This window comes from Homo sapiens, chromosome X (assembly GCF_000001405.40).
Source record: "Homo sapiens chromosome X, GRCh38.p14 Primary Assembly".
Lineage (NCBI taxonomy): Eukaryota > Metazoa > Chordata > Mammalia > Primates > Hominidae > Homo > Homo sapiens.
In genome coordinates, this window is record NC_000023.11 from 56,256,247 (window position 1) to 56,270,940 (window position 14,694).

The following is a 14,694-nucleotide window of genomic DNA, read 5'->3' on the forward strand; positions in this document are numbered from 1 at the left end:
TATTATTTATTTGGATCTTCTCTCTTTTTTTCTCATTAGCCTGGCTAAAGGTATGTCAATTTTGTTTAACTTTTCAAAAAACAACTTTTTGTTTCACTGATCTTTTGTATTTTATTTCAAATTCTTTTAATTCTCCTCTCATCTTTGTTATTTCTTCTACTAATTTTGGGGTTGGTTTGCTCTTGTTTTTCTATTTTTTTTTCCAAAAGAATATGCAGGTATCATTGCTTTTCTAGGTCTTTAAGATGAATTATTAGATTGTCTGTTTGAAGTTTTTTCTGTCTTCTGATGTAGGCACTTACAGCTATAAAACTTCCCTCTTATGACTGTTTTTGCTATATTCCATAGGTTTTGATATGTTGTTTTCCATTATCACTTGTTTCAAGAAATTTTTCAATTTTCTTCTTAATTTCTTCATTGACTCACTGGTCATTCAGGAGCAATTTTTGTTGTAGTTGGTTTTTTTGTTTGTTTGTGACAGAGTTTCACTGTTGTTGCCCAGTCTGGAGTGAAATGGTGTGATCTCAGCTCACTGCAACTTCTGTCCCCTGAGTTCAAGTGATTTTCCTGCCTCAGGCTCCCAAATAGCTGGGATTACAGGCATGTGCCACCACACCTGGCTAATTTTGTATTTTTAGTAGAGACGGGGTTTCTCCATGTTGGTCAGGCTGGTCTCGAACTCCCAACCTCAGGTGATCTGTCTGCCTCGGCCTCCCAAAGTGCTGGGATTACAGGCGTGAGCCACCTTGCCTGGCAGGAGCATATTTTTTAATTTCCCTAATTAAGTTAAAGTTTAATAATATTATTAAACATTAATAAATTAATGTTTTATAATACTACTGGTGTATGGTGTTTGTATAGTTTCCTAAATTCCTCTTGTTATTAATTTCTAGTTTTATTCTATTGTGGTCAGAGAAGATGCTTGATGTTATTTCAGGTTTTCTGAGTGTCTTAAGGTGTGTTTTGTCACCTAACGTATAGTCTGTCACTGAGAATGATCCTTGTGCTGGGGAAAACAATGTGTATTCTTCGGCCATTGGATGAAATGTTCTGTAAATATATATTGGATCCATTTGGTCTATAGTGCAGATTAAGTCTGATGTTTCTTTGTTGAGTGTCTTCAACTTTTATTTTAGATTCAGGGGATACATGTGCAGGTTTGTTACATGGGTGTATTGTGTGATGCCGAGGTTTGGGATATGGATGATCTTGTCACCATGGTAGTAAGCATAGTATTCAATGGTTTTTCAACCCTTGTTCTCCTCTCTCCCTCCTTCTTCTAGTAGTACCCAGTGTCTATTTTTGCCATCTTTATGTCCATGAGTACCCAACGTTTAGCTCTCATAAATAAGAACATGCAGTATTTGGTTTCCTGTTCCTGCATTAATTCCCTTAGGAGAATAGCCTCTAGCTGTATCCATATTGCTGCAAAAGACATGATTTTGTTCTTATTTATGTCTACATAGTATTCCATGGTATATCTTTACCACATTTTCTTGATCCATTCCGCCATCGATGGGCGCTTACGTTGATTTCATGTCTTTGCTATTGTGAATAATGCTGTGATGAACATATAAGTGCAGGTATATTTTTGGTAGAATGATTTATTTTCTTTTGTATATATACCGAGTAATAGGATTGCTGGGTCAAATGGTAGTTCTGTATTAAGTTCCTTGAGAAATCTAGGAGTCAGTTTTAAAAATTGTTCTCAATCATTGTTTGGCCCATGGTGTATAAATGAATTTGCTTAAGTTGCATATGCATATGGATGAGAATCCTTTGTACTGTTTTAATGATATTTAGCCCTATTTGATGTCCCATTTACCTTAATCGTAGCTTTTGCATTTAGGAATTATTAGCACATCAAAACTTGCTAATTGTTGGAAAACTTCTGCCTGTTGCTAGAGCTTACTCATAGTTAATACCAAGAGGAAGCTGAGTATAAGTAGTATTAGATAAAAATCTATTGTACTTGTAATAAAAAATACTCTATGAAATGTCATTGAGCGTGCATAGCTACCTTTGTTGTTGTTGTTGTTGTTTTGAGATGGAGTCTTGCTCTGTCACCCAGGCTTGAGTGCAGTGGTGTGATCTCGGTTCACCGCAAGCTCCGCCTCCTGCGTTCACGCCATTCTCCTGCCTCAGCCTCCCAAGTAGCTGGGACCACAGGCGCCTGCCACCACACCTCGCTAATTTTGTTTTGTACTGTTAGTAGAGACAGGGTTTCACCATGTTAGCCAGGATGGTCTTGATCTCCTGACCTCGTGATCTGCCAGCCTCGGCCTCCCAAAGTGCTGGGATTACAGGCGTGAGCCACCGCACCTGGCCAAAGCTACCTTATTTTGAGATCTCAGTGTACCTAAGTATAATTCTAGAAATGTTTTTCTATGCATTCTTTAGGTATACTGAACTTCCAGAATTTGGAGGCACTTTGAAATTGGTTCAATGTGTAGAAAAGTCTGGATAGTAAGGGATCTAAGCACTTTTTTTGTTTGTTTCTTGGCATTTCCAGGATATCTTATTTTTAGAAAAGCCTGAGTGCTTGTGATACATGGCCACAGCACACTGGCCATGTCTCAGGTGACAAGGACCAGGAGTTTGTGTTCTATAACTACGCAATGCTGGCATCATTCTAGTGTGGAGAAGCCTCCTGGTTTGATTCATTATAGGATTTGTTTATTTCAAAAGTTAGGACTAGTGGGTGGGTGTGTAGCTCAGGGCACACATGCTGCTCTCCCTTCTCTAAATTTCTGTATCAACATACCATGCAGTGAAAGAGCATTTGGTTGTCACCTGCCCTTTATTTTTCGTTTCTGATTACTTCCTACAAGTGGGATGTCTTGGTCAAAATGTATGAGCAGTGTTAGGGTTAAATTTTATCATACATGTCTCTCCTTTACCCTAATTTAATATTGTTAATATTTGGCACATATTTTCACACAGCCTAATTCTCTCTCTCTCTCTCCCCCCATTTTATTACTATTGTAAGTTGCATCAAGAAACTTTACCCCTAAATTATTCTGCATGCATCACCTACAAATAATGACATTGTCCTACATAACTACATCAGCACTGTCACGCCCAAGAAAATGAACAATATTTCCATGATACTATCTAACTGGCTCATACCTTTCTTTTTTTTCCTCTCTTTTTTTAAAGCTGGGCTGCTTTCTCAGGGTTCATACATTTCTGTGCCACTTTTCCCCACACTGTTTTTTCTACATGGATTGTGCCTCAGTGAGCTAGTATAGCTCACCAAACTCTTTACTTTTCTTAGGGTTCAAATTCCAATTCTACCTCTTCCATGAAACATACATAGAAAACCCCAACTGTCTCGAATCTCTAGTGAAATCATGCTCCTGGAACACTAAATTATCTGTATTAGTCACTAATGTGGTACCTGTTCTCTATTGTCAACTGCTTTATGTAAATATCTCTTGTCTCCCCAGTAATATTTTTTGTCTCCCAAACTTCAATTATTTACTTACCACTTTCACGATTTTTGCCACATCCTTGCCATCAATATTATTTACATACTTTAAAATTATTTAAATAAATAAATAAATAAATCTATATTAGTTTTGTCCTAAGCTATCTGGAGAATTCTCGGTTTGATGTGAAGTATTACTTTCCTAGAATTGCTGAAACAAACTACCACAAACTAGGTGGGTTAAAACAAGAGAAATGTGTTCTCTCACTGTTCTGGAGGCCAGAAATCTGAAATCAAGTTATTGTCAGGGTCATGCTGCCTCTGAAGGCTTTAGTGAAGAAACTTTTCCTTACCTCTTCCAGCTTCTGGTACATATAGGTATTCTTTGGCTTGTAGCCCCATCACCCCACTGTCAGCCTGCATCTTCACATTACCTTCTCCTCTGTGGCTCTGTGCGTTATTCCTCTGTATGTCTCTTATAAGGACACTAGTCATTGAATTTAGGGCCCACCCAGATAATCCAGCAGGATCTCTTCAAGATCTTTAATTACATCTGCAAAGATACTTTTTCCAAAAAGACTCTGGGAATTGAGGTGTAGACGAGTGTTTTTGAGGGTCACCATTCAGCCCACTACAATGTGTTATATATATTTTCCAATGTACAGTACAATAGAGTAAGCATAAATATTAAAATAAAATAACTTCATCCATGTATTACCCAAAAACAACCTTAGATTCTTTGAGAAACAAAAACTGATTTAGTATTTTTCACATTTTCTATAGTTTTGTGCTAGGTACTAAGCAAATACCTAGTGAACAAATATATGCATACATATACATATGTACATACATTTGTACATTTATGATCTCATTTTGCCTGATTGTGGCTACTACCATCCCAATCTCTTAAAATTGCCGGGTTTGTTAGATTAAGTCTAGGTTTCTAATAATACCCATCTCCATCCACCGCTCCATTTTCTAATACCCAAACAGATAATGCTCTTATTGGAAAAAGAATTGAGTTTTAGAAGGTTAAACAGACTTTTTGACCTAAACATGAATGTGTACAATACATGTGTGCATATGTATCCAGGCATAAAACTAATTGGTTTAACCCAGAGCAAAGCTGGAAGGTACCTGTTTACAAAAACAGGTTTCCTCTTTCTGTTTGGGAGGAGCCTAGGCTTTATCGTGTTTCTATAACATCCCTTCCTCTCCTTCCACCTACTGTGCTGTATATAGTATTTTGTTCTTCATTTCTAATCTTGCATTACCACTTTCAAGCTCCACATCAGAGCTGTTTCAAATACATGAAAAATGGAAACTTTGTAACAGTTGATTCCACTGATTCTCAGGGCCTCTCTACCTATCTTAATCAAATGCTTAAATATTTGTGAAATTAACCAACTTTTCTCAGAGTTTATTTCTAGAATTGAGAGGGGTGTTTCCTAAGAACCGAAAGGGTCTCATCTTTAGTAATATATGAATAAATAACTCTTTTTATATTTTTTTGTCCACTCAAATTGGCTTAAGGAAACCTGATAAGGATTCTGGGTATTTGAGGAGTAGCACTGTGGAAATTAAAGCTTGTCTTCAAACCACCCCTAAGTTTCTTTGTTTTCTTTCATGCACAACCTTCTTCATAGATTCAGAAATCCGGAAATTCAGGATAAAGTCTTAAAATAGCAAATGGGGAAAGTAGCTATTCTCTTTGATAGTGATTGACTAGAGAACACTTAAAAACTGAAGCCATCACACCACACTAAAAATGAAGAAAGATTACTTTAAAAGAAAAATCTGATGACAGAACAATCCTCAGATGAGTTTCAAAGCTGAAGTGATTATATTCAATGAAGCATGAAATAGGTAGCCATCCTGAGTCATCTTAGTGAGGATTCTTAAAATCACCAAAATTCTAGGGACAAAAACTCACTCAATCAAGACTTGAAGGTCTTCTTCAGAACCTTCAAGCATAATATGCTATCTATAAAGATAAGGTAAAGCAAATAGGGTGTTGGGGTTTTTTTTAACCATAGGGAGGGTTATATTCAAACTATGGAATAAGTTAGACTGTATAACAATATTTTTATTAAAATTATTTTGATCATATTGAAAAAAGAATCCTCAGTGCACACAAACAAAACTTATTCACCCTGATAGTGTGTAGATATGGAATGCTTGTCTTTAAGCCACAAAGGAAGGAACAGTAAGGTCAACCTTGAGACCTACTTTTGAGAACAGTCTGTTTTCTTAAGAAAGCTTGCATTCAGAAGACAATATTTACACCCAGAAAATACTTGCTACAAGATAGATTCACTTAGACATAAGAGGCATACTTGGGAGTGATATGTACAGAAAAAAGTATGTGACACTATGCTTTGAGGAAGTTACTATTAAGATACTAAAACCCAAACAACTCCCCTTCCAACACTTCTCTCAAAGCCTTTTGATGGCAGGAGAGAAGTAATGATTGAAGCCCTGCTGCAGACAGGGTTTGGTTAAGAATTGGCAAACCACAAAATAGGTTTAGTCTATGAAAGGACAACTAATGATGGCCTGTTGGAGCAGGACCCTGTAACACTGTATCTCATCAAGGCAATAAGAATAGGCTATCAGTTCTTCAGTTTCTTGACTTTCATCAATCAGTTTCCATTTTAGATGTTCCTACGTAATGTTTTTCAATAAAATGCATACCTGCAGATCAAGTATCAGCTAAACACAAGGCCTTGAGCTAGTAACATTGTTGTAGGCAGCACTCATCTCACTGAAATGGCCTTTCTTTGGCAAAAGAGAGTAAAAGTTGCCAAAGTCGTGTTTATTTTATAGTTAGGATTCAAAGCTTCAGCTTTTTCAGGTTTCTTAGTCCAAAAAGTCCCTAAAATTTAGCTAAATCTTTTCTTAATTTCAGTGGCAAGTTGTGTTTATTTATACACCTGCACCCACAACTATATTCTTACAGAAAATGATATTACAGTGAATTATTATTATTATTATTATTATTTTTGTGTGACAGAGTCTCATTCTGTTGCCCAGGCTGGAGGGCAGTGACAATCCTCCTGCCTCAACCTCCAGAGTAACTGGGACTACAGGTGCATGCTACCATACCTGGCTAATTTTTGCATTTTTAGTAGAGATGGGGTTTTACCATGTTGGCCAGGCTGGTCTCGAACTCCTGACCTCAAGTGATCCACCTGCCTTGGCCTCCCAAAGTGCTGGGATTACAGGCATGAGCCACCGCGCCCGCCCTACACTGAACCTCTTCTTATGCTTTCTATTGTAACTCTATTTCTCACTGTTATTGACAGCAATGATAGACTATGGAAAGAGATAACATTTTTTCTTTTGAAGATTCCTTGGATTCTATCTTTTTAATCTGGGAATGGAGCTACTCAAGTGAAGAGTTATGTGGGAAATGTAGGAAAAATAAGAGCTTAAGTTGATTTGGGGGATTCTGAGAACAGGGGAGTTTTATGTTCAGCAGAGCCAATCTTGACAACTTCCTCTCCCTGTCAACAGGATTCTACTCCCCCCTTATCTGGATGGGTCAAATCCACCCATGAGGGATGGGTTACATTTGCAGTATGTGAAACAGTGGGACAAATCACAGAAATCATGTCCTGGAGGAGCAGATTGAAGCAATGTTTGGACCACAAACAAGGGCTGAGTTGGGATAGGTGCTGGCAAATCAAGAAACCAAGAGTGTTGTAGCATAAAAGAAGGGAAAAGAAGATGGCAGTCTGGCCAAATTCTGGAGACAAAGCACGGATGGGTTTTTGGTGCCGTTACTCATTCCCAGCCTGCTCTGAGCATTGTTGTCATGTGTTTTTGACGCAGAGTCTTGCTCTGTCACCCAGACTGGAGTGCAGTGGTGTGATTATAGATCACTGCAGCGCTCTGAGGGTTTTTAAAATAAAGTCAGAGCAAGAAGACACTGCCTCCCCTGCCACTTATTGCTCTCTGAATTCAGACCCTTATTATCTCTCACCTAAATTTTAAAAAATCATAAGCATAACATAATTATCACACCTTAAAATTAACTAATTCATTAATATTGTCCAATATCCAGTCAATACTCAAATATTTTTACATGTCTCATCGAGATTTTTCCACTTGCTTTCTTTTGAATGTCTTTGAATCTAGTTTTATTCCTCTTTCAATCAATCTTCATTAAGAAGCTAGTTAAATCTCACAGAAATAGTTCTTCCCTTGTTACTCCTCTCTTCCAAACAATTATCTTCTATCACCCAACCTTTCATTGAACTCTACCTTTCCTCATCTTCCAAATATACAAAACTAAAAGTGGTTATGTTTTATATAAAGGATGTATTCCTTAACATTTTTCATAATTTAAAACTCCCATAATTCAAGTATCATGCTGATAGATAATGGAAGCTTGTTTGTTTACTGGCTAAAGAGGTGGTACCACCATCTCCAAAATCATCTTCAAGATCCAGAGTGTTGCTTGGCAGTGGCATACACAGTTCATTATATCCTTGACCTTTGAATTCATGGAATTCTTAGAAAGTTTTTAATTAGGTTGAGGCTTTATTTCATATATTACATATAAATGATCATTTATTAGTTTTTTAAAAAAAGTATTAGTTTTTTATTAAAAACTATTAGTTTTTTAAACTAATAAATGTATTTATTAGTTTTTTAAACTAATGTATTTATTGGTTTTTTAAACTAATAAATGTATTTATTGGTTTTTTAAACTAATAAATGTATTTATTGGTTTTTTAAACTAATAAATTGGTTTTTTAAACTAATAAATTTATTTATTAGTTTAAATCATTTATGATCATTTAGATCATTTATTAGTTTTTTTTAAAAATCCCAGAATTAAAAAGTTGCAGAGTTCAATTTTGCATATAATACAACTAACTGTATTGCAAGTTTATTTCATAGTTTATTCTATAATTATACTGTCTGTTGTTATGGCTCTATAGACAGGAATATCTTTCTTATCTCTTATCTGCCTAGAAAATTTCTATTAATTTTCTATGACTCAGCTGAAATATCACCTCCTCCTTGAAGCCTTCCCTTTCTAGTCAGAATGAGTCATTCCCTTTTGTTTTTCTAAAACGCCTTGCTTGTATGCCTGTTACATTATTTATTATGGTATGATTTATAAACTATTCACATTATTCTATCATTATATTTAATATGTTGGTATGTACTTATTGGCTGTACTTTATTGATGTGTGCTGCCACTGAGCTTATAGTAGATGCTCAGAAAGTGTTGACTTTAAATAATTTTGCAAGATTATTGTGAACGTTAAATGAAATAATTTTTAACAATTGCCGGATACAGTACCTGGTACTTACAGATAGTAAAGTTTCCCGTCTGTTTTTCTCTTTAGTTTACTCCTGCCTTATTTCTCCCAGCACCATGTATTCCTTCCATGTGAAATGAATAGAGATTTCTTTTTTACATTGCTTGCATGTCTCTTCAGGGTACTAACACTGACTTATGCATCTCTCATTTGTTTATTTATTTAAGGTCACTGCTTCTGTTCGGAACAGAGATCCCCCTGAGATAGAATACAGAAGTAATATGACTTCTCCAACACTCCTGGATGCCAACCCCATGGAGAACCCAGCACTGTTTAATGACATCAAGATTGAGCCCCCAGAAGAACTTTTGGCTAGTGATTTCAGCCTGCCCCAAGTGGAACCAGTTGACCTCTCCTTTCACAAGCCCAAGGCTCCTCTCCAGCCTGCTAGCATGCTACAAGCTCCAATACGTCCCCCCAAGCCACAGTCTTCTCCCCAGACCCTTGTGGTGTCCACGTCAACATCTGACATGAGCACTTCAGCAAACATTCCTACTGTTCTGACCCCAGGCTCTGTCCTGACCTCCTCTCAGAGCACTGGTAGCCAGCAGATCTTACATGTCATTCACACTATCCCCTCAGTCAGTCTGCCAAATAAGATGGGTGGCCTGAAGACCATCCCAGTGGTAGTGCAGTCTCTGCCCATGGTGTATACTACTTTGCCTGCAGATGGGGGCCCTGCAGCCATTACAGTCCCACTCATTGGAGGAGATGGTAAAAATGCTGGATCAGGTAAGTAACAATATTGCCTCTTTCCTGGCCTTCCTGAATCTATTCCCTTTTAGAGTCATCCTATCTCCTGTCTCTTTTCACTTCCTCCAATTATTCTTGCACACTGCTTCAAGAGTAATCTTTCAAAAGTACTGTTTTTTATGTCTTTTTAATGCTTAAGAATGTACAATGAGTCTTGATTAGACCATGCTTCTCAAACAAGTACAAGTATGCATATCTATCAGTGACATATCAAACAACTTCCTGGAACTTCCACATTATTTGATATTAAATAATTTAAGCATTTTATATTTAAAATATGATTATCTTGTATTACAAAATGCAAAATTTAAAAACCTGTTAAGATAAACCACATGCTTCAAAAATAGTTGAAGCTTACTAAAGGCATCCACCCTCGGACTTTTCAGGAGAATGTGTTTATTTTATGCCATTCAGAATGCTTTGGTGGGAAAGTTGAGAACAATATTTCTATCTCAAACATACTTAGCCAGTATTAGCTCCTGCCTCTACCAATACTTTCCCTTTTCTCTTCCCTACAAAAGAAGTAATTGAAATATTGTCATCTTCCCTGTGTTCTTCCTCATTTGGCATCTATCACTTTCCATTTTACTTATTTATTTGCCTGTATCACAAGAGTTTGGGCATTATTCACAACTGAATTGTAAATTCCTGAAAAATAATACTCTATCTTAATTTTTTTATGTATGCCTCCAGAGAACTTAACACAGTGCTAGGAGTTGTCTTGCAACAGATAATTTGATGAACAAACAAACTTGAAAATTTGTCCAAGAGAGAATTCAAATGCTATAATCTTCCATTTTATTTTATTTTTAAAATAAGTTCAGAATTCAGAAAGGTATAAATTAAGTCTCTCTTCCACCACTATCCCCCAACCACTAGTTTTCCTCCCAGAGGTATATCTGTTTTAGTTTGTAATCAGGAATGATCAAGGAAAATTATGTGGCCTCTAAAGCAGGCTGATAATGTTTTGCATAAATCGGAAAGGCCAAGGGGTGGAAATGACTAGGAAGCAGATTTCAGCTTACTGTAAAAGAGTATCTACCCTTGAAATTTGATGCCCTGTACTAAATGTAGGAGGCTGAAAAACAACATACTACTAAGCATCAAGTTGCTGAGACTCTGCACTGGTCTTCTGAATACAAATATTATTATTGACTAGTGGTTAATTGTGGTAATGATAAGTGTTCATAATCTTATTTTGAGATGTGATATCCATTCCATATATGAAGGGAGAGCCAAACAAACAAACCAAAAAAAGGAAACAAACAAAAAAGGAAATAAAATTCCTCGTGTGACAGTTTATGCTGAGATAAAGGCAGTGGTAACATCAAAGGATGGTTTGAAGGAGCTTTGAATAGTCCCCATAATATCATCAGTCCATCAGAGCCACTCTAAATAAACAGGATAAATTTTAAATGTGCTCAATGTGGTTCCAAGCTAAGGGCATTGGCCCAATGGTGTCTGTATTAGTTCGTTTTCATGCTGCTGATAAAGACATACTCGAGACTGGGAAGAAAAAGAGGTTTAATTGGACTTACAGTTCCACATAGCTGGGGAGGCCTCAGAATCATGGTGGGAGGCAAAAGGCACTTCTTACATGGTGGCAGCAAGAGAAAAGGAAGAAAGAATAGCGGAAAGCCCTGATAAACCCATCAGATCTCATGAGACTTATTCACTATCATGAGAATAGCAGGGGAAAACTGGCCACCATGATTCAATTAACTCCTCCTGGGTCCCTCCCACAACATGTGGAAATTCTGAGAGATACAATTCAAGTTGAGATTTGGGTGGGGGCACAGCCAAACCACATCAGTATCCAAAATGGGGGGCTTACTAAACCTTAGGGGGCACATATAAAACAATTGGAGTGCAAGAAGAAAGTATCAAAATTTGTATTTTCTTACCCTTAAAAATTGACAGGTAATATTGTATGTTTTAATCATCTATAGCATGATGTTTTGAAGTACATATGCATTGTGGAATGGTTAAATCTAGCTAAATAATAAATGCATTACCTCATTATCATTTTTGTGGTGAGAGCACTTAATGTCCATTCTCTTTACAATTTTAATAAATAAAATGTATCATCATTAACTATACTTGCCTTGCTATACAATAGATCTCTTGAAATGTATTCCTCCTATCTAGCTATAATTACGTATCCTTTGACCAATATCTCCCCATCCCCCTCCCCACTAGCCACCCCAGCCTCTGGTAACTACCATTCTACTCTACTTGCATGAGATTAACTTTTTTAGATTCCACATATGAGTGAGATCATGCACTATTTGTCCTTCTGTGCCTGGCATATTTCACTTAACATAATGTCCTCCAGGTTCATCTATGCTCTCACAAATGGCAGGATTTTATTCTTTGTTATAACTGAATAATATTATATTGTATATATATATATGTCACATTTCATTTATTCATTCATTTGTTGATAGATATTTTAGGTTGGTTCCACATCTTGGCTGTTGTGAATAATGCTGCACTAAACAGGGATGCAGTTATCTTTTGGGCATGTGATTTTATTTCCTTTGGATATATACCCAGAAGGGAGATTGCCAGATCATACGGTAGTTCTAATTTTAAGTTTTTGAGGAACCTCCATACTATTTTCCATAAAGGCTATAACTAGTTTACATTCCCATCAACAGTGTGTAAGTGTTCCCTTTTCTCCACATACTCACCAGCACTTACTGTCTTTTGTCTTTTCGATAATAGTCACTCTAACTTAAGTGAGATGACATACTACTTTTTGTTTGTTTTCTTATAATGTATACAAAATTGTAGGATACCGATACATGTATATCACATACATGCACAAACATGCACACCTCAAGATACATGCTTAAAACTTTTTAGTGAATGATATGCAAAGTATAGAGACAACTCTTTTAACCAAATACTTGTTCCCCACCTTATCACCACCCCCAAGTTTCTTCTCTATAGAAATTTTGAAGGTTTCACTGGATCTAGGAGACTGTTGACCACCTGATTGAGTTTTTAGGAATTAGAAACATCAGGGGTTGATAATAAGGAATATTTGACAGCTTCTCCCAACATAGGTGGAAAGGAAGGTTGTATCAAGCACCTACTAGGTGGTAGGTATACGTTTCATCTCATTGACTTATTTCTGTTTAGGAGCACAAAGGCCAAGGTGGATGTTCTCACATCTGGACTAATCCTAGAATTTGATTTTAGGACAGCCAGGAGCTATTCAGTGAGTTCAATTCAACACACACACACACACACACACGTTGAAACTAACTTTTCAGCTGACCCTGTCCTGGTAGCTGGAGATAGAAAGATGAATCATACCCAGACCACATCCTAGAGACACTCTCATTTGATACCACTCATAGTGGTATCAGAACTCTTCATACTACTCTTACTTTAAAGGCATTTCTGTTCCCTGCTATGCAAAAAAAAAAAATAAAATGTTATTCTCTTCCTTCCATGCAAATACACTTCTTTCATCTTGTTTTTTATTTCTTTATTTTTCTGTCTTGCTGCCACTTCTTAAGGTGGGACAAACTGGGAATCCTGAAAATGATTAAAGAGGCACATACATCTTCAGCTCACACTGCTCCCTTTCTTTGCTTTTAGTGAAAGTTGACCCCACCTCCATGTCTCCACTGGAAATTCCAAGTGACAGTGAGGAGAGTACAATTGAGAGTGGATCCTCAGCCTTGCAGAGTCTGCAGGGACTACAGCAAGAGTGAGTACTTTTTGTCTTCAAGTCTGTCTTTGTGTATGTGTGTGTGTGTGTGTGTGTGTACATTTGCACATATGTATAGGTGGAACTAATGATCAGACACAAGAGTAAGAATTTGAGGACAAGAAATATAGGGAGACTGCCTTTCCAGTGAAAGTATATGAGTTTGTGTGCACACATGTGCATGTACATGCATGCTATAGTAGAGCTATGTTCTAACTGTAGATCATCAATTTTTCTTTTGAAAAATCTTCAAATTTCCCATAAAGTGTAGTTATGTACTGTTTCTCTCTGTAAGTTTAAAACAGCTTTGTCTTTCAATATTGAAACTAATTGGAAGTAGTTGGCTTGTGTTTAGCAACAACTGTTGTATGAAAAACAAATTTCTTTAAGCAGGAAAATGAAACTTATTGAAGTGAAATGCTCACACTGTTTGGGAACACAACCACTGAAGGAAACACTACCACCTCCCATGCTTTCTCTGAGCACCTACTGAGGGACCTGTACCTACTGAGCAGAATGGCCTAGTTGACAGAATTGTTTTTACTATTCCAATTATTTCTTTTTGGGGGGACCTAGCATTAAATTCACGTAAATTAAAAGCCGATATGATGTGGCACCAATGAATGTAAATTCATTTTTTTAGCCTTCACTTTAAAGTCACTGTTTGGCTTTATCTCTATTTCTTTGATCAGACCAGCAGCAATGGCCCAAATGCAGGGAGAAGAGTCGCTTGACTTGAAGAGAAGACGGATTCACCAATGTGACTTTGCAGGATGCAGCAAAGTGTACACCAAAAGCTCTCACCTGAAAGCTCACCGCAGAATCCATACAGGTCTGCCCACTCCCATCTCACCCCCAACACACACACACACACACACACACACACACACACGAGAGAGAGAGAGAGAGAGGGGCAGAGAGAGAGAGAGAGAGGGGCAGAGAGAGAGAGAGAAAATTTCTGAGAGACAGAGAATGAAGTCCTGAAACAAAGACTGATGCATTTATACTCATGGGCACAGGCTCCATTCATGGTTTTTATCCCTATTTCTTGTCCCTACTCTAAGGCAGATTTTATAAAACTGGCCTAGGAAAACACTAAACTAAATCTGGTGTCTTAATAGTCATCATTCCCAGTGAGCCCTGTGGGTCTTTCTAATTGCGGAGTCAACACTTAAGCAAAGATTAAGGCATTACTCCCTTCCTTACTACCAGGGTCTCACAAGTTTTACTAAGCATGGAAAAGCACAAGAACAATTTAAACTATGTGAAATTAAAGCAGGTTGTAATCCACTAACCATTAACGTGTCTTTGTTCACATTAAAAAAAAAAGGTGCACATAAATAAATAAAGCAGACCTGGTAGTGATCCTGTCAAACCGAACAGCACATACCTGATCTGAAGAAGGAGAGCTGCCACTCAAATCCATGTAGTCAGCCATCAATATTCTTAGG

At 37.1% G+C, this 14,694-nt stretch overlaps 1 protein-coding gene across 18 annotated transcripts in view; it reads left to right on the plus strand.

Moving 5' to 3' along the window:
- The window catches only part of KLF8 (KLF transcription factor 8), a 383,409-nt gene that overhangs the window by 348,124 nt on the left and 20,591 nt on the right, over positions 1 to 14,694 (plus strand). For 11 of the 18 annotated variants that reach the window (NM_001324105.1, NM_001324104.1, XM_047441797.1 and 8 more), the window contains 3 exons: positions 8,934 to 9,498; positions 13,132 to 13,243; positions 13,936 to 14,075. In NM_001324105.1, the coding sequence (NP_001311034.1) occupies positions 8,934 to 9,498; positions 13,132 to 13,243; positions 13,936 to 14,075 (817 nt within the window). Of the gene's footprint in view, positions 1 to 8,933; positions 13,244 to 13,935; positions 14,076 to 14,694 lie in introns of those variants that run through there. The other 7 variants (XM_006724575.3, NM_001159296.2, NM_001324099.1 and 4 more) reach the window with 5 other exon arrangements.